Source organism: Homo sapiens, chromosome 3 (assembly GCF_000001405.40).
Source record: "Homo sapiens chromosome 3, GRCh38.p14 Primary Assembly".
NCBI lineage: Eukaryota > Metazoa > Chordata > Mammalia > Primates > Hominidae > Homo > Homo sapiens.
The window spans coordinates 24,778,591-24,799,299 of NC_000003.12; the positions used below are offsets into that span (position 1 = coordinate 24,778,591).

Here is a 20,709-nt window from a genome sequence, read left to right on the forward strand (position 1 = left end):
GTGCACCATCCTGTCCAGCTAATTTTAAAATTATTTTTGTAGAGATGGGGGTCTCTACATGTTTCCCTGACTGGTCTTGAATTCCTGGGCTCAAGTGATCCTCCTGCCTAAGCCTCCCAAAGTGCTGGGATTACAGGCATGAGCCACCACACCTGGCCATAAAAAACTTTATTCATTGTGTGTGTGCGTGTGTGTGTGTGCATGCGCGCACGTGTGTCAAAGTCTCACTCTGTCACATAGGCTGGAGTGCAGTGGTGCACTCATGGCTCACTGCAGCCTTGAACTCCTGGGTTCAAGAGATCCTCCTGCCTCAGCCTCCTGAGAAGCTGGGGCCACAGGCGCATTCTACCATTCCCGGCAAATTTTTCTTTTAATTTTTAAAAATTTCAATAGATTTTTGGCAACAGGTGGTGTTTGGTTCTTTAGTGGTGATTGCAGGGATTTTGGTGCACCCATCCCCCAAGCTGTGTACGTTGTACTCAGTGTGTAGTCTTTTATGCTATAAAGATCTCTCTGTGCACTACTTAGCTTAATGTAAAAAAATTAATATGTTTAAATTTTTATGCTATTAAGTCAAAAATATTTTCAGATTTTCTCAAAATGTCCTCTTTGACCTATGGCTATTAAAAATTGTGTTTGTTGAATTTACAAATATTCAAAGATTTTCCAGATATATTTCTGTTACGGATTCCTAGTTTAGCTATATTATTGTCCAAAAGCTAAACTTTCTATGATTTCTAATTTTTTCAATTTTTAAGGCTTATTTATGACACAAGATGGTCTGTCTTGAATGTCCCAAACATTTGAAAAGAATGTACAGTCTGCTATTGTTGGCTGGAGTATTCTATAAATATCGGTTAGATCAAGTTGGTTGATCGTGTTATTTAGTTCTTCTATATCTTTATTGATTTTCTGTCTACTTTGTCATCAATTACTGAGAGGAGAATATTACAACATCTAAATACTATTGAGGGTTTGTGTATTTCTGCTTTCAAATTCAGCAATTTTTGCTTCATGCATTTTTAAACTCTTGTAAGGTGCATGCTGATATAAATTGTTATAATTCATGGAAAATTGACCTTTTTATCATTCTGTAGTGTTTATTTCTGATAATATTTTTTGTTCTGAAGTCCACCTTGATATTAATATAGCTACTACATCTTTCTTTAAATTAGTGTTTGCATGGCATATTTTTCCCATTCTTTTACATTTTACCTATCTTTATCTTTATATTTAAAGTGGATATCTCGTAAAGAGTTGTATTAGTCCATTTTCACATTGCTATTAATATAAAGATACTCCCTGAGACTGAGTAATTTATAAACAAAAGAGATTTAATTGAGTCACAGTTCCCCATGGTTGGGAAGGGCTCAGGAAACTTACAATCATGGCAGAAGGTAAAAGCAGGCACCTTCTTCACAAGGTTGCAGGAGAGGGTGTGAGCATATAAGGGAGCAACTCTCAAACACTTATAAAATCATCTGATCTCATGAGAATTCACTCACTATTATGAGAACAGCATGGGGTAAACTGCTATGATGATTCAGTCACCTCCCTCCCTTGACATGTGGGGATTACAATTCGAGATGAGATTTGGGTGGGGACACAGAGCCAAACCCTATCAACATTATATCATTGGAGTTTCCTTTTACGCCCAATCTGACAATCTCTTATTTAGTATGTTTAGACCATTCACATTAAATATAATCATTGATATAATTAGTTTAAGATCTGTCCTCTTGATACCTATAATTGATTTGTTCCACCAATTTTTTGTTTTTTTTCCTCCCCTGTTTTTCTGCCTTCTCTTGGCAGAATAATCAGGCATTTATTATTCTATTTTATCTCAACTCTTGACTTATTATATATACCTCTTGTTAAATTGTTCAGGGGTTGGTTTAGGATTTACAAGATACAACTTTAATTGGAGTCTATCTTCAGATATTTTATACTACTTAATGTTTAATTTAAGGACTTTAAGAATCTTAAATAGTCAACTCCCAATTCCTCCTTCCCAAACTTTGTGTTATTGTTGTCATATATTTTACATTTTTTTCCATAAACACACACTACATTGCTACCATTGGTCAAAACAATTCGTTATTTCAGAGCCATTAAAAATAAGAAAAAAATAAGTTTTATTTACTTTCATTTATTTCATCTCTAATGTGATGTTTTTATTTTTTTATTTAGATCTAAATTTCAATTTTGTATCATTTTCTTCCTGAAGAAATTTTCTTTTACCATTTCTTTTAGTGTAGGTTTTCTATGTTAAAATGACTTCCCTTCATATTTGTCTGAGAAAGTATTTCTCCTTCAGTTTTTTTCCTACTTTATTTTTGAAAATTATATTCACTGCCTATAAATTCTGGGTAAATTTTTAACAAGTAAATCATTCTTTCTGCACTATAAAATGTCTCATCATAATCTGGCTTGGGTAGTTTCTGGAAGGAAGATGGCTCCACGTCTCATCTGTGTTCCTTTATATGTAAAGGATTCCCCCATACCCAACTGCTTTAAGAACTTCTCTTTGTCTTTTGTTTTCAGCAGTTTGACTAATATGCATAGGTGTGTTTTTGTGATATTTATCTTAGTCAGCATTCTCTATTTTGATCTGTGGTTTAGTGTCAGTAATTAATTCTAGAAAATTCTATGCCATCATTTTTTCAAATATTTCTTTTGATCCACTTTCTCTGTCTTATGCTTATTAGATTATTGGACTGATTGGAATTATTCCATAACTCGTGAATGTTCTATTTTTATTTTCACACTTTTTTTTCAGCTTCAGTTTGGATAATTTCTAGTGACTTTCTTTCACTTTATCGATTCTTTCCTAGTCTATATCAAGTCTACTTATGAGCCTGCTGAGGTCATTCTTCGTCTGTTATTGTGTTTTCATTTCTAGCATTTTCATTTAATTATTTCTTATAGTTTTTGAATCTCTGTTGAAATTTCCCATCAAATCATGCATATCGTCTCCTGTTACATTAGAGTCTTTAACGTATTAATCATAGATATTTTAATTTACCTTTCTGTTCCAACATCAGTGTCATATCTGAGTCTAGTTTTGTTGACTGCTTTGTCTCTTGACAGTGTTGTTTTTTTTCTTGCCTTTTTGTGTGTCTTGATTTTTTGTTGGAAATGGGACATACTGTGGCAATAGAGTCTAAGGTAAGTAGCTTTTATGTTTACAGATGGGCATGCTTTTTCTTTTGTTAGGCCTCTATTTTTTCTTCCTGCTGGTTCTTTAATGTGCATGTTTAAGTTAATTCAACCAGGAGTAGGAATTTGCTTTGGGTTTCTTGTTACTGTGGTTACTCTCAGTGTTAAACAGATTGCAAATTCTTTTGATGATATCTTGTGTTTTGAGTGGCAGCTGGTTTATCAGTGGGTTTTATTTAATTTCTGTTTCATCCTCAGCTTTAGGTCTTCCCTTTGCACTGTGTCTCAGTTATTGTTCATCTCCAGCACTCCAGCAGTTTTCTATTATTACTTTTTAAAATTAATGCTTGTTAGCCCAGTGTTCTGATTCACTCTAAATTTTAGGCAAGCACTATGTCTCAGGTCTCAGGTATAACATTCTTTTTTATTTTATTTTTTTATTTTTGAGACAGGGTCTCACTCTGTTGCGCAGGCTGTAGTACAGTGGCATGAACTCAGCTCATTGCAACCTCTCCACCTCCCAGGTTCAAGTGATTCTCCTGCCTCAGCCTCTCAAGTAGCTGGGATTATAGGCACCTACCACCATGTCCTGCTAATTTTTGTATTTTTAGTGGAGATAGGGTTTCACCTTGTTGACCAGGCTGGTCGCAAACTCCTGACTTCAAGTGATCTCCCCACCTTGGCCTCCCATAATGCTGGGATTACAGGGGTGAGCCACTGTGCCTGGGCCTCAGGTATAACATTCTTAATATTCCTCTTCATATCTTAACTGTAGTTCCACATCCAGCACATATTCCTGATCTTTCTCCAAGGGTAGAGGGTTTTCTTCTTAGGCTAAAATGGATTTTTATCATTGCCTCAGGGTAAGAGGATTGGTTGTGTTTCACTCCATAGATTATGGCTTTTTCCCCATAAAGGATATAGGAGAGAAGTTCCAGGTTGGATATATGCTTTTCCCACAGTGGCTGCTGTTTTCCTCTCTCAGAACTTCACCATTACACCATTAGGCATGCTCTCTTGAGACTCATACCAATCTTTTTTGGGAAGCTATGAGATCCGTGAAGAAAAGCTTGCAAGAAAGAGAGTATGAATTCCCCTGTACAGTAGTCCTTATCTGTGGTTTCACTTTCTTTGGTTTCAGTTACCCATAATCAACCACGGTCTGAATATATCTATATCTACATATAGAGAGACCATATTTGTGTAACTATTATTATAGTATATTGTTATAATTGTTGTATTATTGGTTGTTAAACACAACTGTGCCTAATCTATAAATTAAATTTGTATGCATAGGTATGTATGTATAGGAAAAACATAGTATATATATGGTTTAGCACTATTTGTGGTTTCAGGCATCTACTGTGTGTCTTGGAACATATCCCTTGCAGATAATGGAGGACTGCTGTATTTTCATGTCTTATGGTTCCACAATCTCTCACCAACCCCTACTCAGCTTCCACCAGTTTGTTAACTATTCTAGCTCCATTATTCTTACTAATATCCAACTGTGTCTGCCCCACGTAAGCAAGTACTCACATCTCATCTCTCCCAACAGACATCTGCCTGTCCTTATATTTTGGATGGTTGGTTTCCAGCAATATCAGCTTTTTGATGCATTCAAGAAATGTCATTAACTTGCAGGTTGTTTCACTTTTTACATTGTTGTTGTAAGCTTGGAGGCATAGCTCTTTCTAGATTTCTACATTCCAAGTAGAAACTAGAAGTTCCTTATACCATCATGAAAATAAAAGAAAGTAAACACTTCTTACTTAGCACAGAAAAGCAGAGAAAAAGTTCCTGAAGAAGTGAGCCCTTTTCTTTTTCTAAAAATTTTTCAGATGTTGAAATATCTCTGCTTTTGCCTTGCATCCACTATTCCTTACATTCCCCTTGGATAATTCAATCACACCAATATTGTGATTAAGTAGTATAAAATATTATGTTGATTTCATAGGAGAGGAGAGGGTTTACATTGCACATTACAATGATATTTACATTACATTGTTCATGGTCTTCACAAATCCCATTAAACATCTGTCTTTCATAGTCCCTTCTTATCTCCTGCATTTCATTTAAACAATATCTTAGCTGTTTTGTGCTGCTATAACAAAATACCTAGACTGGGTAATTTACAAACTAAAGGAATTTATTTTCTTACAGTTCTAGAAGTTGGAAATTCCAAGATCAAGGTGCCAGCAGGTTTACTGAAGGCTGCTCTCTGCTCCTAAGATGGTGCCTTGATGTTGCATCCTCTGGAGGGTAGGAACGAAGTGTCTTCACATGGAAGCCAGTGAGCAAGCAGGCTGAGTGTTGCATGAAGCCTTTTGCACAAGGACCTAAATCACATTTATGAGGGCTCCTCCCTCATGGTCTAATCACCTCTTAAAGGCCCTACCTCTTAAGGCTATAACGTTGGCAACATCTAAGTATTGGAGGGGACCCATTCAAACCATAGAAAATGCTTATAGTCTTCCCTATTGAGTTGGTAAATTCTGATCTATTCCAGTATATGTGAGCCCCACTGAACACAGTGCTCAGCAATTGTAATGCCACTTAGTTATAAGACGCCTTCTCCACTTCTTAGAATACATTTGTAGACCATGTAGTGTTTCTAGTTTGCCTTTTGGGTTTTCTCTCAACCTTAATTTAACAAAGGATCTTTTTCAAATACACACAGTATCTTCCCTGAGAAGAATTCTGGGAAATAATGGAAATAGGGATTTTGGAAGAAAGGAAATCGACCTTTTTAATTATCCCATGACTTACACAAATGATGTGGGAAAAATACCCCTCTCAAGTGACATGTATGTACTGACAGTTGACTCAATATCAAAGTCACGTGTTGGGAGTATCAGAATCTGATCTGAGTGTGGTTTGATGAGTGTCACAGATTCATCTGCGAAATGTTGCACCTGACAGATGGGACAGTCTAGTTTAAAATTTTTCCTCATTGAGATCATCATAGGGGATGATTTGTTTTCAACAACTTTCATATTTGTGCACAGCACCCCAACCCAAAAGAAAAAAAAATGCCACCTTCTCTCAATAATTTGGAATATTGGAGGTCTTTGTACGCTTTTTCATACAGTCTTTGTGCTCTTTAGAAGAAAAATGTTACAAATAGATAAGGTAAAAATACCTTAGTAAAGGTAACAATTGACATCCAAGGTTTAACAGTCTTTCCTTCCTCTAACATCTTGCAAAAGATGTAACACTGCATCATTGGCCCAATGACATACCCCAAAGCATTTGAATTTTTTAAAGAAGGTCTTGGGATAAAAGAAAGTCATTCTGCATCATCACTTGGGATTGTGGTATTTAAAGGTCATCAGAAAAGCATCTTCCTGACACATAACATCAATGGCAACCTCTTGGTATATGAGCTGATGATAATACATTGTTAAAACCATTGTGTGACAAATGGAAATAAGAATGTTTGTCATTAAATATTCTCTGCTGCTTGTACAAATAGAAAAGATAAGGCATGTGGTACTTATTCTTCTGTCTCCTAATATAAGTGAATATTCCTATCAGAGCTTCATCTTTATAGAGGTATCTGCTGTGGAGATATAACAACCTTGAGTAGCTGCATAGGATCACATGTAACTATGTCTTTCCATGGGCCTCTGGGTAATATTGCATTACTGTTATAAAATTGTCTGTAATCAGTGTTATTTTTGTAAAATGGTAAATTAAAGAAATTTTTAGATGATCTTTAAATATGAATCTAGGAGTTCCAGAAATATCTCAAAGGAAAGAAGCAATTGATGTAGAAATTAGGATAAGTTAAAAGATCAGCAGTTTCAGCGTATCTTCCCTGAGTAAAATTTTGGATTTTGTAAGTTCTACTTTAAAAATAATACAGTTTATTTTGCCAGATAAAATTAGGTTGGGAATGAGAAGGTTGTGAGGTTTCACATTTCACAAAGCTCATCTGAGAAAATTAAAACAGTATTGTCTACATGATTCAAAATTTTCCATTTAACCTCTCTGTACTGAAAAAAAACAGTTAAAATATGAAGCATTTAGATTGGGTTTTAATTGTCAAAGATAATTCTAATTCTAAAACTCCACAGTTCAATTATAATCCAAAATATTATTTACTATCTCATTAGTTTATATTAGGTAGCAAAACATTTGTCACTTTCCTTAAGATACTTTCCTCTATTGTTGACTATTTTGTATATTAAATTGTGTAAACTTTTTCACAGTCAATTTGTGAAATTGACTGAAATAGCCTGGGTCCTGGAGAAAATATGTACCACACTCAAAAAGTTTAATTGAAGAAAGTTAAATTAAGAAAATATTTGGAGGGATATAATCTAGGTTAAGAGAACAAATGGGGAATGAAGGCTACATGAAGCCATTGTTGACTCTAGGCCGCAAGGCACAATGATGAGGGCGATGTGTTATAGAGCCTGCAGATGGCTTGGAGCTCTGAGAGAGGAACGCTCACCTCCATCAGGAACTGTAGCCCTGGTACTCAGCCACTGCTGGAACCACATTCAGGAAGGGATAGGGGAGGGACAGAAATATTCCAACTTTCATTTCCCCTCAACTTTCCTTGGTCAAACCCAACCACAGCCACAGGAGCAGGGTACCTGAGTGATGCAGCTTATAGATATCAGCCTCACAGGGCACAGAACAGGCAGAAAAGGGGGAAATGGATGTAGGGGAGGGTAGCATAAGAATGTTTAAATATATTATCAACTTATGAATAAGATCATGTGTGTGTGTGTGTGTGTGTGTGTGTGTGTAAGTTTTCATGCTGTTTTACGTCAACTTGATCTCTCTGGGCTTTGACCTCCCTATCTCCAAAGTGGTTTTCTGACTTCTCATCATCTGTAATGCCTCCATTTCTTATTCCAGTTTCAAGCATTCTAGTGTCTAACCACCCTCTCCTACATTCCCAATCCATTCACTCCAATATGCCCTCTGCAAGAGTTCCCTGACCTCATTAAGACCTAATTTGACCTCTCCATATTGACTTTCCTCTTTATCTTGCTTAGATTCCCTGATTCTTGTTAGAATCACCTTTTCTGCAAACACTCTCAACTCCCTGTTTCCTTCTCCCTTTACTGTACTTACCCAATAGAACCCCAGTCCTTGTTGAACCCAAACTTTCCCTTTCCTCACATCTTTACTGACTCATCTGAACACTGCTAGAAAAATTATCACACAACCCAGATGGCTGGTTTCAATTTATGGAATTACCAGAAACTTCAAATAGATACTTAAATAATGTTTTACAAAACAGCAATAGTGTATAAAAAGAATCATCTACTTGTTTTGTGTACTAAGAAACCCAGAGGCAGGCAGCTGCTGGATGACTTTGGGACTGAACAATGTCAAGATGCTGTGTTGATGTCTCTTGGTCTTTCTGTTTCAAGGTAGCAGCCATAGTTGAAAGCACCACAGTTCCATTTGACACAGATTGAAAGGCAGGACATAGGAGGTTATGTTGCAAAGAGCACTTTTCCTCATGTAACCCCTATCTTATTAAAGAGGAAAATTCTTCCTCAGAAGATACTCGCTTATATTACAGTGTCCAGAACTAGGCTTATGCTCATCCCTAGACCAGGGGCTAAGCCACCTTCCTTGAAGTCAAGTCTTCTCTGCCCAGTGCCTGAAAATAGAGAAATACACTATTAGCAAGGATGAAGGAGATGAACGAGACGGGAGAAGGATGACGTATGTGGACAAACATGTAATTAGGAAAGACAGCTTCTGATATAATATACTATACTCCTTTCCTTGTGGGGCATGTGTACATACATATGTGCCCTCATATTCATACCCCCAGTGGCTAAGTTTTGGTAGAGTAAAGTAGCTGTAGCAGGGCGTAAAAACTGAAGTTCTGAGAAATCATGCCAGTTAGTACTTATTAGTACCCAGTTTTTGTCCTGGGTGCTGTAGGGGATATGAAATTTTTTCATAGTTAGGGTTTACCTCTAAAGAATAATCTTTATGATCTTAGAGTTCATGATTCTAAATATTGCCTGAGCCTTTTTTCTTTCCTCAAAATGTGTGAAATTCATTTACTGATAAACACTACTCTTAATGAAGTTTGGATAGTTTATTTAAAGTGTATATATATATATATATATATATACACACACACACACACACACACACACACACAAAATTTCCAAACTGAATGTCTGTAAATGCATTTATTGTTAGTGTCTGTTGTAGAGAGTAGCTAGCATGTAACAATTTGCTGTAATGTCTATATTATTTGTCTATCTAGTGTAATATTAAGACTGTAAAATACCTTGTAAACATTGATTATATCTGGGGAAGATATCAGAATCTCTGTAAATTTCAGTGGTAAGAATTATTCATTTCTAGTGGCATGTGGATTGTCACTGATGCCAGTCTTACCTAAACATTTCCAGTACCACTACCTGTTATCAAATTAAAGATCAGTCTAAAGCAAATGCTAATTTCCTAAAAGGCTCCTCAAGTAAGGGAAATGGATCAGGTAAAATTGCAGTATCAAAGTGCCTTACTTTTTTTGAATTCTCACAATAAGTGAATATCAAATAAATGTTACTTCCTCTCTTGGCTAAGATTTGTAATCCATAATTACATTGATACATGTGTTATATCAGTGGCAGCAGTGGAATTCATAGTATTTTTATGTGAAATGCACTGTTTTATTGCATTAATTCACATTTAATGTGTACACAGTAATAACCATAAAGTATGATAACCAAAGTTATATATTTTCTTCAGAATATTCATTTAGAGAGCTTTCAAAAGAGTCTGAGGAAATTAAAATATCAGTCAGTTTACCTGCAGGATATAGAGCAAAAGCAGGAAGCAGTATAATATCTTTTACAAGCCAACATTCCTCCCCACATAATTTCCTTACTTCTAGCTGATAAAATACAATAGTTATAACCCTGTACATATTTTTTTAACTATGGTACACAAAACAAAGGTTTCTGAAGTGAAGGAAAATATACCTCTTTCAGTAAAATTGCATTACTCACATGATTACAAGCAGGAGGTTTGAAGGCAAGAGAAAGCAGTGAAGGTGGAAGTCCCAAAGCCCCTTTCCTGGTAATGGACCACAGAAAGATGATGCCCATAAAGGCAGGAAGTCTTATATAAGAGGTAGTGGAGGCCCAGGGGTTGGCGAGAAATAACAAATGGGAAGGTACCTAGAAAACAGGACAAGAATGAAAAATCTTGGTCATATTGAGGGCCAAAAATAAAATAAAATAAAACAACAGAGTAGGATATAGTGTTCTAAAGGCTGTGAAAGAGGGAAACCAAGTAATGGACAATTTAAACTTGGTGAACACAAAATGGTTCTAGAAATACAGAATGCGGCCTGTGTCTTTTTAAAAATTTTTTTCTAAGGCTTGGATATTCTTGCTTCCCAATACTGTGTTCTAGTATTCATATGAAAGTTAACTGTTCCAAATTAAGGCATACTTCAAGACCTAATTCGCATCCGGGATTCTTCAAGAAGGCTTCCATGACAATCACAACACCTACTGATTCTTCCCTTAGTTGAATTTCTTTACCTTTATATCATTTATACAATTCCTTCATTAATTTATTCTTCAATTTGTTCAATATTTACGAAGCACTTTCTCCATGGATAGATGGATATGGCTTCCATTTATCAATGAATTATGTTATAATTAAGATGGATATAGTAGTCATGTGTCTATAGTGGGATATTTTTGTCATTGCTTAAAAGCATTTTTTAAAATACAAGTCATACACACATAATTTTTAAAAATGTAACCAAAAGGAAAAGTGTAGGAAAGAGTAAAGTCTCTTTCCTCACCACAATCTTAGTCTCACTCATCAAAATAACCACTTGTTATTTTCTTGAGTATACATATATAAAAATAGAATATACATAATTGTATATGCCTTTCTAAAAACATGGTGGCATATTGGCATATGCCTTTTAAAAAATCTAAAGATATGGGGTCTATACACATATGCACATATGTGCATATGCTGTTCTGTACATTGCATTTTTTCTTAACTCTGTATTTTCAAAGTTGACAGACATTAAAATATCATGGCAGACCTTGTCATTTGGTGTTTATCATCAAACCTTCCTAGGTTCACAATAGACCATACTTCTAATACTCCCTAGCAGTTAGGTGCGGCCAACTGAGTGAATTCTAGGCAGTAGAATGGGAGCGGAAGTGATGTGTGCCTCTTCCGGATCAGGTCCATAAAAATATCCATGCATAATCCTCTCCCCATTTTCTATCTGTCAGTAGGATGTTGATGATAAGGGTGACCGTGGAATCCGGATGTTGAAGGTGGTATAGCCTCCCTCAGCCTGGATGTCTGCTGGATTGTAGTGAGCACATACCCTTGAACTCCCTAACCTGTGACCAGAGCACTTGCACTGGGCTGTAACATGAGTAAAAACATCAAATTTCATTATGTTAAGACAGTGAAATTTTGGGATCAGTGTCAGTATTTACTGTTACCACAACCTATACACATACATAGAGATAGCTAATTGTTTTTAATGTCTGAGGAGTGCTTGATTTATTGTTTGCAAGAACCATTATTTATTTAAGCTACTCCTAACTGATAGGCATTCAGATTGCTAGCAGTTTTTGTTATTAATGATGCCATGCATAATCTTTTACATACATTATTATTTCTGAGTATCTCCAAAGGATAAATTCCCAGCAGTAGAACTGCGGATCAAGGGTATCGACTCTTAAAACACGTTAGTGCTTTGACAGCTATGCTAACTTCTTTAAATTATTTGTACTGATTTTGTTTCCTTCAACAATGTTTGAACGTGTCTCCTTTTACACATCATCATGGACACTTAAGTATTATAAAATTGTTAACTTTTTCCAATCTAGTCAGTGAAAAAAAGATTTCATTCTTTCGATTTGCATTGTTAAAATTTAGAGTGAGACTGTGTGTCTTTTCATGTGGTTTTGGCCACTTAGATTTCTTTTTGTGCAACCTGAATGCTTGCACCCTTTGTAGAGTTCTCTAAAGAGCTATTTGTCTTTCTCATGTTGATTTATAACACAACTATAAACTGCTTAAGAGAGATTATGTCAGATATTTCTTGGTTTAACTCCCAGCACAGGAGTTAAACACATTTGAGCAGTTTTTGCATAGTTAAAAAAGATTTACAGTTTTTAAATTCTTACTACGACTGTGTAACTATTATCCTCTGCATTTTATGGAATAGGAAATGGGGGCCGAAGGGAGTTAAATGGCTTGCGAAGGTCAAATAACTACTGAGTGGTAGAGCTGGGTAAGGACCCAGAATTTCCAGCATGAGATCGCTAACTTTTAGGGAGTATTTTTCTGTATATACCTACTAGGTTTCTAAACTAAAGCACCCAATATATTAATCATCATAATCTAGCATCCATTATTCATTATCAATTAGCATTAAATATTCACAGATGAATGGTAACTAAGTAAAATGCCTAAGTAAAATTCTTCATAGACACCTACAGAAAACATTTTAAAATGCAACCTTTTCTCATAAAATGGCCAGCACCAAGATCTAGGTGAATTTCTAACAGTAGTCACTGATTGATTCCAAGTATCAACCTTAAAAAAAAGGTGAATTCTATTTCATTCATTTATAATCCATATAAGGATATACATTATATATACTTTATGCTAGGTGCTTGGAAAACAACGAAGAACAGGTGAGTTCCTGGCTTAGAGTGGCTTAAAGGGTTTTTTTTGGAGGAAATTTTGAAGCAAAAATATAGCTAAAATGCAATCCAGGACTTTTCTGTAGTTCTCCGCAGAGTAGCATGGAGCACCTAGAAGGAAGTCGATAATTGCATTTGGAATTCCTGGGAGCAGGTTTATCAAAGATGACATTTGATCTGGGTACTGGCAGATGAGTAGTTTTCCTGAATAGATTTTAGATGTTTTGCCGAAAATCAAGGTATTATTTTGATAATTAGGGATCACCTATATCCCCCCGATAAAAATGTCCTGAGACACATGAAGCTAAATAGAGTATGGCACCAGTGTCAGACACCACTTGGAATGATTAGTTCCCCGCACTTCGAATTTAGAAGGTGACAAAGTGTCCTATTTATCATTGTATTTCCAAGGCCTACAACACAGAAGGGACTCTAAATATTTGTTGAATTAAACTAAATTGAATTAAATGGGTTCCTGGGATTTACATACACTACTCTTGAGGCTAACTAGAGCTCAGAGTGAGAAAAAGTGCCATGTTATAAGTTGTATCTTCTGATGAAACAAAATCAACTTAGAAGGAAAAAACTGAGAGCAAGGATGATATTGGATACCTCCCAGTGGCACTAGTTCCATTTTAGTGGCTGTCAGTGGGTAAAAGAAAAAATTAGTCGTGGCAGAAGATAGCTGCTCATCAATGACAGACACCCTGCCCCCACTGCACTCACACACCCATTGCCCACAGTCTAAAGTTGTTGGGGAAAAAGGCTCTCTTGCCAGGACTACATGTCCCAACCTCTTTTGTACCTAGGTGGGCCGTTGTGGCTAGTCCTCACTTATGGAATGTGAGTGGATTGATGTATGTCACTGATGGTGCCTGGTGCACATATCTGTCCAGCTTCCAACAGCTGGCACCTGGATTTTTTGTCTTGAGGGCTTTCTTTGCCCCCCTAGGGCCTGCCTTGCCCAATCACATAAGGGGGTTGAAAACACCTGAGAAATAACCCCCTCTGGGAATAGTTCTGAACAGATGATTGACAAGATGGATATAAACCTATCTTCCTTGTCCTTTGAAAGGGATAATTCTGAGCCATGTGATCTGCCCTGTTTCCCAGAAGTTCCCCAGCAGAATCAAGCTCTGATTGCCCACAGTGGTGCCTTGCTTGATAACGTGCTCCTTGTTAGTTGCCGTTTCTTCCCCGTTGCACTTCTTCCATCACACTGCTGGCAGTCAAATCCCTGTCTCTGAGCCCACTCCTGGACCATCCAAAGTAAGGCAATACACTTTCCCCTAGATACCAGGTGTTTTTTTTCTCTTGTTTTACTCTCTGATTTATTTGAGTACAACCTCTAGTGGCTTCTAGAAAGGGCCAGTTGAAGTAACAGTTTTTGAGATCTTCTGCATCAAAAGACAGCCATCGCACTGGATTTATGGTCTCTACTCTCACACTGGATTTATAATTTAGTTTATGCATAAAATAATTAACATAGTAACTATATATAAGAATGTTATATAAAATTAAAATAATTTTAAAAATTATTTCCTATTTAGCTTCCAAGTGAGTTATCCCACTGCTTGCTGGCTTCCAGTGCTGCTCCAAGAAGTTCAATGTCATTATAATCTCTGATCTTTTGTATGTGATATATTTTCTCTCTGAAAGATTTCAGAACTTCTCTTTAACAGGATTTCCTGCAATTTAATAATTGTGTGTCTTGGTGGTGTTCGTATTATTGTTTCTTCATTTATTGATCTAGGTACACAAGGAAATCTTACAATCTGGAAACTCATGCCCTTCGGGTCTGCAAATTTTTTTCATATTATTTTATAGTTTCCACTCCTTTCTTTTTTTGTTCTGTCATCCTGAGACTCATGATTTGGATGCTTGGACTCCTGACTGGCTCTCAAATTTCCTTTATTTTCAAAAATTTTTCATTTATTTTATTAAGTTTTGTGGGACAATTTTGTAATTCTATTTACCAGTCTTTCTATTATATTATTTCATGTCTGATATCACATGTTTGATTTCAGAAATCTGCCATTATAGCCAGAAATCTTGGATTTATAACATCTGGATATGTGCGTGTTTTTAGGGCAGGGTTGGAGAGGAGATGGGGAAGGACAAAATGTGATTTCAGGCTACAAACCTCCTATGGACCAAGATTTAGTAGCCACGGGTACTTCTCTTACCCACCTCAACCCTGCCCAATAACATCATCATTGTCAATAATAAGTCCTTGTCAGTGTCTCATCAGGAAAATAGAAATAACTCTAGTTATTTTAAACAAAGAGAATTTAACAAAGTGAATTATTTACAAAAGTATTGGAAGGACTAGGGAATCAAGAAGGGAAAAGATGAGATGTTATTTGGAGATTAGTATCTGAGCAGCCTCTACCCACCTAGAGCCAAGGGACAAAAGAGACAGTGGTGTTTCATGGAACCCACAAGGGCTGTGCCGTGGAGAGTGCTGCAGTGTTTAGTGTCACAGCTGTTATCCAAACCATCACCACCGTGGCTCTGCAGGAAGCCAGAAGCCTGCACTCCTGCTGACCCTCAGGAGCCCTGGAGCCCAGTGTTGCTGATGCCACGGAGACTTCTGGAGCCCATAGTTACTTGTTTCTGCTGCTGCAGCTGCCATAACCATGTATGAATGCAGCACCTGGCAGTCACCTACATTTGCTTGCCATTTTCACTGCGGTGGCAGCTGCTGCGATCAGAGTCAATGAGCTCACGTTTCTAAGGCTTTTGGGATTTGACTGCTGTCACTTCCAGAGCCAGAAAAAAAAGGAAGAAAAAAAATGACTTATTGTTTATCCTAACTTTTACTCTTCCTCCAATATCTCCCAATGGTTAACAGAGGTTAAACAGAAACTAGCTGGCCAGGGGGTCTGGGTGGCATTGCTTTCAGGTAGGAAGGTTGAAAATGAAATTGAGAGTTAAAAGACAAATAACCAACAACTGCTTTCTTGTGTGCTCAGTAGGTACCAGAATTGTCCCTACATTACTTCATTTAATCCTCACAACAATCAACAACAATCATTGATGGTAAGTATAATTATTATCACATTTTATATTTAGATGAAGAAACAGTCTCAAAGATGTGGAACGACTTGCCTAAGATTACATAGCTAAGAAGATGAAGTGTAACTCAAGTCATTTTGACACTGAGTCTTGAGCCCTCACCCGTTTTCCTTTCTACAGATCTTCTGTGAACTACCTACCATTCAGGTCTCCCAGCTGCGTTCAGCAGTGTAGTCCTCCTCTGCATTCGTGACCACTGTAGGTCTTCTACTTTCTAGCCCAAGGAAAATCCTTTCTGCTTTTATGACAGCCTTTCACAGAGGGTCCCAACAGTCAATGGATTATCCTAAGTGACCCAGCAATCTTCTTGACCCTTGCCACTCAGAGTGTGGTCTATGTACCAGCAACATTGGCATCACTTGGGAAGTATGAAAAGTACTGACCCTCGGCCCTTCTCTCCCTCTGCTCGCTGACCTATTGAATCAGAATCTGTATTTTTAACAAGAGCCCCAGTTGATTCTTATGTTCCTTGAAATTTGAGAATGACTAGTCTCTGCCATTTTTGTCTCCCGCTTAGAGTTTTCCCATACTTTCTGGGAGGGGAAGAAAGAGATGATGAGATGGGAGTCATGGTGATTTGGAATCACTGGTCTCTTGCAAATTCTGCTTTACCTCTTAGATCAGTCCGCTCTGCCAGATTTGTTTCTTCACTTTGCTGATTTTCTTTCAGGGACCACATTACCTCTGTTGTCAGTCTGGCATGTTTAAGGAATCCCATTCTGTTAGATGGGTCTACCCATAAAGTGTGAACTAGTCCAGGGCTCTTTTACAAGTCCCTGAACCTCATATAGACCTATCCAGGTGTCTGGAATAGAACTCAGTGCTTCCGGCATGCCATGATCATGATAAAAGAGAATCCTATCCTCCAGCATTCTAAGATAGCAAAAAGTTTATTTTATCTGGATCTGCTACTCTGCCCAGTTCCATGACACGCACCTGTAATTTCAGCTAATCAGGAGGCTGAGGCAGGAGGATTGCTTGAGTCCAGGAGTTCAAGGCTAGCCTGAGCAACATAGCAAGACCCCATCTCTTAAAAACAAAACAAAACAAAACAAGATGTGAAAAATACACAGTTATTCCCTTTACCCACCTGAATTCCTACTCTAATTGCATTATTTATTTCCTGTGGATGGGAAACAGATGGTCACGTACCAGCAAGCAAAGAAAAATGAGAGAACATGTCCTCAGCTACCCTTATTTTCTTCCATTTCTTGCTCTTTTACCTGATATACATGTAATGCAAGTCCACCAAGCCCTGCCTGACCCTCCACCATGGGAGATGCAATTAATACATTCTACTTGTGTGATCACCTTTGCTCGGTTTCTGAGAACTGTTACCCAAATTCAGACATCTAAAGAGCATGATATGAATAGACTTTTTAGGCAATGATAATCATATTTTCAAGCAATACATCAACATGTATTCTGCTTCTTGAACAGATTCTTAATTCTCATTGGAGTTTATTAGTCACCCTTGTTCTCAGTTGATTAAATTTGTTTGTAGTTGCCTCCAAGATTATATTGACAGATTTTCCTCCTTACAATTTAATGGTAACATTTTTGCAGGATATGAGCTGACATGATAAGACAAATGGAAAAAGGGAATGCATCACCCTGTATAGATCTGATTTATCTTTCCCTCCATCTCCTTATTTATTTTTGCCATGATTGGGAGCCAAATAAACAGAGTGACATTTCATTTTCATAAGATAAGTCTATTATTTATGATTTATGGTTTCATATTTTTGAAAGTAAGCACAATAAGAGTAGAGATAAAAGCTAATATAACTTTAGAGCCACTATATTTTATGAGTTAATTGTTTTTGGGTGCATTATGACTGGCACAAATTAAAATGATATAGAGAAAAAAATTATGATTCTTTTAAAAGTCTATTTCTCATTAATTTTAATGAGTTCTTTTTAAATTTGTACATTTGTGAGAAATAGGAAGCATGTAAGCTCTGCAGCATGAGAAGGGCTAGGTTATTGGGCAATTTTGATTTAATTTGTATAATATAGTAGCTATGACTGTGACTGGATCACTGATAATCTGTGTAAATTTACAAGGATGATATAAAGCCAAATATACTTTAGCAGGATAAAATAAAAATTTGGGCTATTTTCTGAAGCCCTTACAGTCACTTTGAATCTCAGTACTCCAAGATTAGATTGCATATTGGGCCATGTGGAGAACCAGGTCATTAACTCAGCAGTATTAAGCCAGTCATTGCTCTCTGTTGTTCTAGCTTGCAGACATCTACAAAACCTATATGAATGGGTTGATTTGCTACTAAACATCATGGACACCATGGACACCCCTGAAAGACGGAGATTATAGGCACAGTTATCCTCCTCAAGAATTTTACCTTTCTCTTGGGACACTGATCTCGTGCCCATCACTAAGCATGACCACTTTGCTTGCAAAGCCTCACAATTTATGATCATGGGTAAGAGGCACAGCTTTGTGGATTATTTTTCGTCCAAGGATCAGTTAATCCCTTTCCTTTCAAAATCAAAGAATTGAAATAATTTTAAAATGTGTAAAAAGCTGCCATTTTGGTGTTGCATGGATCACCTATATCTAAACACACTGTAAGCTCCACGATGGCAGGGATTTTGTTTGTTGGTTTGTTTACACTGCTGTATTCTCAGTGCCTACAGCAGTGATGAACCATGATGGGTACTCCATAAACATCTGTGGAAGAAAGGAATAAAAATAGAACAATGGTTATATTTAATGTTGTTTGCTAAAAGACACATTAGGATGTATGAGATAACCTCAAATTGAAGAATATGTGTTCTGCCTTCTCTCAGTATCTAGGATGAGGAGTATTTATAATTGCCTGCCTTGTAGGTGAGCTGAGAGGATTATGTAATTGGTGCTTTTAAGTACTACAGAGGCAGAAACTGCTCTATTCAATTGAATTCGGGCTTAATTAGTGCTTATTGTGCTTGGTAAGTTCTTAAGGGTGTGAAGAAGAACAAGACCTTCTTGCTGCCCTTAAGGAGATTATAATCACGTTATTACTCTGATGTATTTACACCTATACTCACTCTTTTTTCACTGCTTCACTCTTTCCTCAGTTGTCTCTCATGGGGCCAGAACCAGATGGGTAAGAGTGCCAGCCTGAGCAGCCTGTGTGTCGTGCGCAGTCGCAGGAGAGGCAGAGGTAGATGAATATCAGGCTCACCCTATGGTAGTAGTGGACAAAATAGAACCTGGATATAGGATGCATTTGCCCATATACTGAGCAAAAGTAAAAATAGACAAACAAGCTTCAAATCAGTATCTGGGAGGTCTCAAGAAGGGAAAAGGCAACTACTTAGAAAGGGTTCAAAAAAAGGGGACAGAAGCAAGGTTTGCAATCAGAGTGTCAGCTGGCATTCAGGGACAAGGATGATCACTTAAAGTTGCCACTCATGAGTGGACATTACTAACTTCTCATACTCTTAAAATTTGGATTCCACTCCCATCAACACAAATAAACTGTTCTTCCGTGGGTTTCTGGTGATATCCCCAATGCAGTGACATTTTCTCTTTTTTGTCCCAGTCTTTTATTTTAATAGAAACTTTTTAGTAATATCTCCTGGATGCCTCTCACCACCACATAATGATGCCGTCTCAAATGATAGCCAGCACTGCTTGGCTCAACATTTAGTTCTTGGGCTTCCAGGTAAAGGTGATTAATTAAGAAAGTGCATTTACTTCCTACTCCTTCAAATTAAAATTACAGTAGAGGTATAAACCTGAGACAAAACGATAAAAATGATATGGATAGGAGACAGGGAAATACCGGGTAGAAGAGGGCAGTCCCCCAGCAAAAGCCCCACCCTAAAGTTGGATATCCACGGCCCTAAATGAGAACAGGCATTCCTGTTTTCTCACCAAAAAGTTGCCTTTGGCTTATCATGCCCCCTATCCTGTACCCATATAGACCCCAAACCCCAGGGTCCAGAGCATACCAGGAGATGAGGAGACGAGATAAGCTGACAAAAGGGTGGAATGACACAGCAGAGAAAGAGAGAAGAGGAAGAACATCTGAGTGTTGAAAGGAGTTTGGCTGGGGGTGGTTGGAGAGGAGTTTGGTTGCTGGATGGCCCAACTCCAGGGGAAGATCACCTTCCCACTCCATCCCCCCTTCTGCATCACCATCCATCCCATTGAGAGCCACCTCCACCTCTCAATGAATCTCCTGCATTCATTCTTCAAGTCTGTGTATGACCCAATTTTTCCAGGACACTGGACAAGAGCTCAGGATACAGAAGGCTGTCACACTGGCCCTCTGCCCTTGCAGAAAGGCAGAGGTTCCATTGAGCTGGTTAACACTCAAGCTGTGGGCAAATGGCAAGGCTAAATGGGCACACTGTAACACATGTCCACTTGGCCTCCTTCAACTGTCTGTCTGCATGATCCCTGTCCCATAAGGGTTCTGTGCAGTGGCTGTGACCAAACAGGTGAGCCACACCCCTGTTGGACATCCTGCCAGGGGGATCAGGGAACTCTTCCATTTCAAAAGCAAAGAGAATAGGAGGAGTGATATAGCAGATAAAGACATCTATACATTTCTGAAATTAAAAATGGGTCTAAGAGCAATAACAAATGAAACCAAGTGGAGGAAGCCACAGCCTAGAATACACACTGAGGGCTCCAAAGGGGCAGAAAAGACAGTCTTCCCTGGAGAAGGCCAGAGAGATTCACTCTAGGCAGCAGAAGTGAGATATGTAGCTAAAGACAGAGGAAATAATTAAAAGTCTGAACTACCTCCCTCTACAACCTCCA

General features: G+C 37.6%; 1 long non-coding RNA gene across 1 annotated transcript in view, besides 1 other annotated feature; it reads left to right on the plus strand.

Moving 5' to 3' along the window:
- The window catches only part of LOC107986070 (uncharacterized), a 28,200-nt gene extending 9,821 nt beyond the window's left edge, over positions 1–18,379 (plus strand). The window contains exons 2-3 of the long non-coding RNA XR_001740623.1: positions 15,827–15,893; positions 18,176–18,379. This is a non-coding gene — a long non-coding RNA (uncharacterized LOC107986070). The remainder of the gene's footprint in view (positions 1–15,826; positions 15,894–18,175) is intronic.
- Positions 19,597–20,097: an enhancer, noted in NCBI's record as "H3K4me1 hESC enhancer chr3:24839678-24840178 (GRCh37/hg19 assembly coordinates)". NCBI's record gives its function as "activates a minimal SCP1, AML or CMV promoter by ChIP-STARR-seq in naive H9 embryonic stem cells {active_cell/tissue: H9 hESC(naive)}" and the evidence as "EXISTENCE:reporter gene assay evidence [ECO:0000049][PMID:30033119]".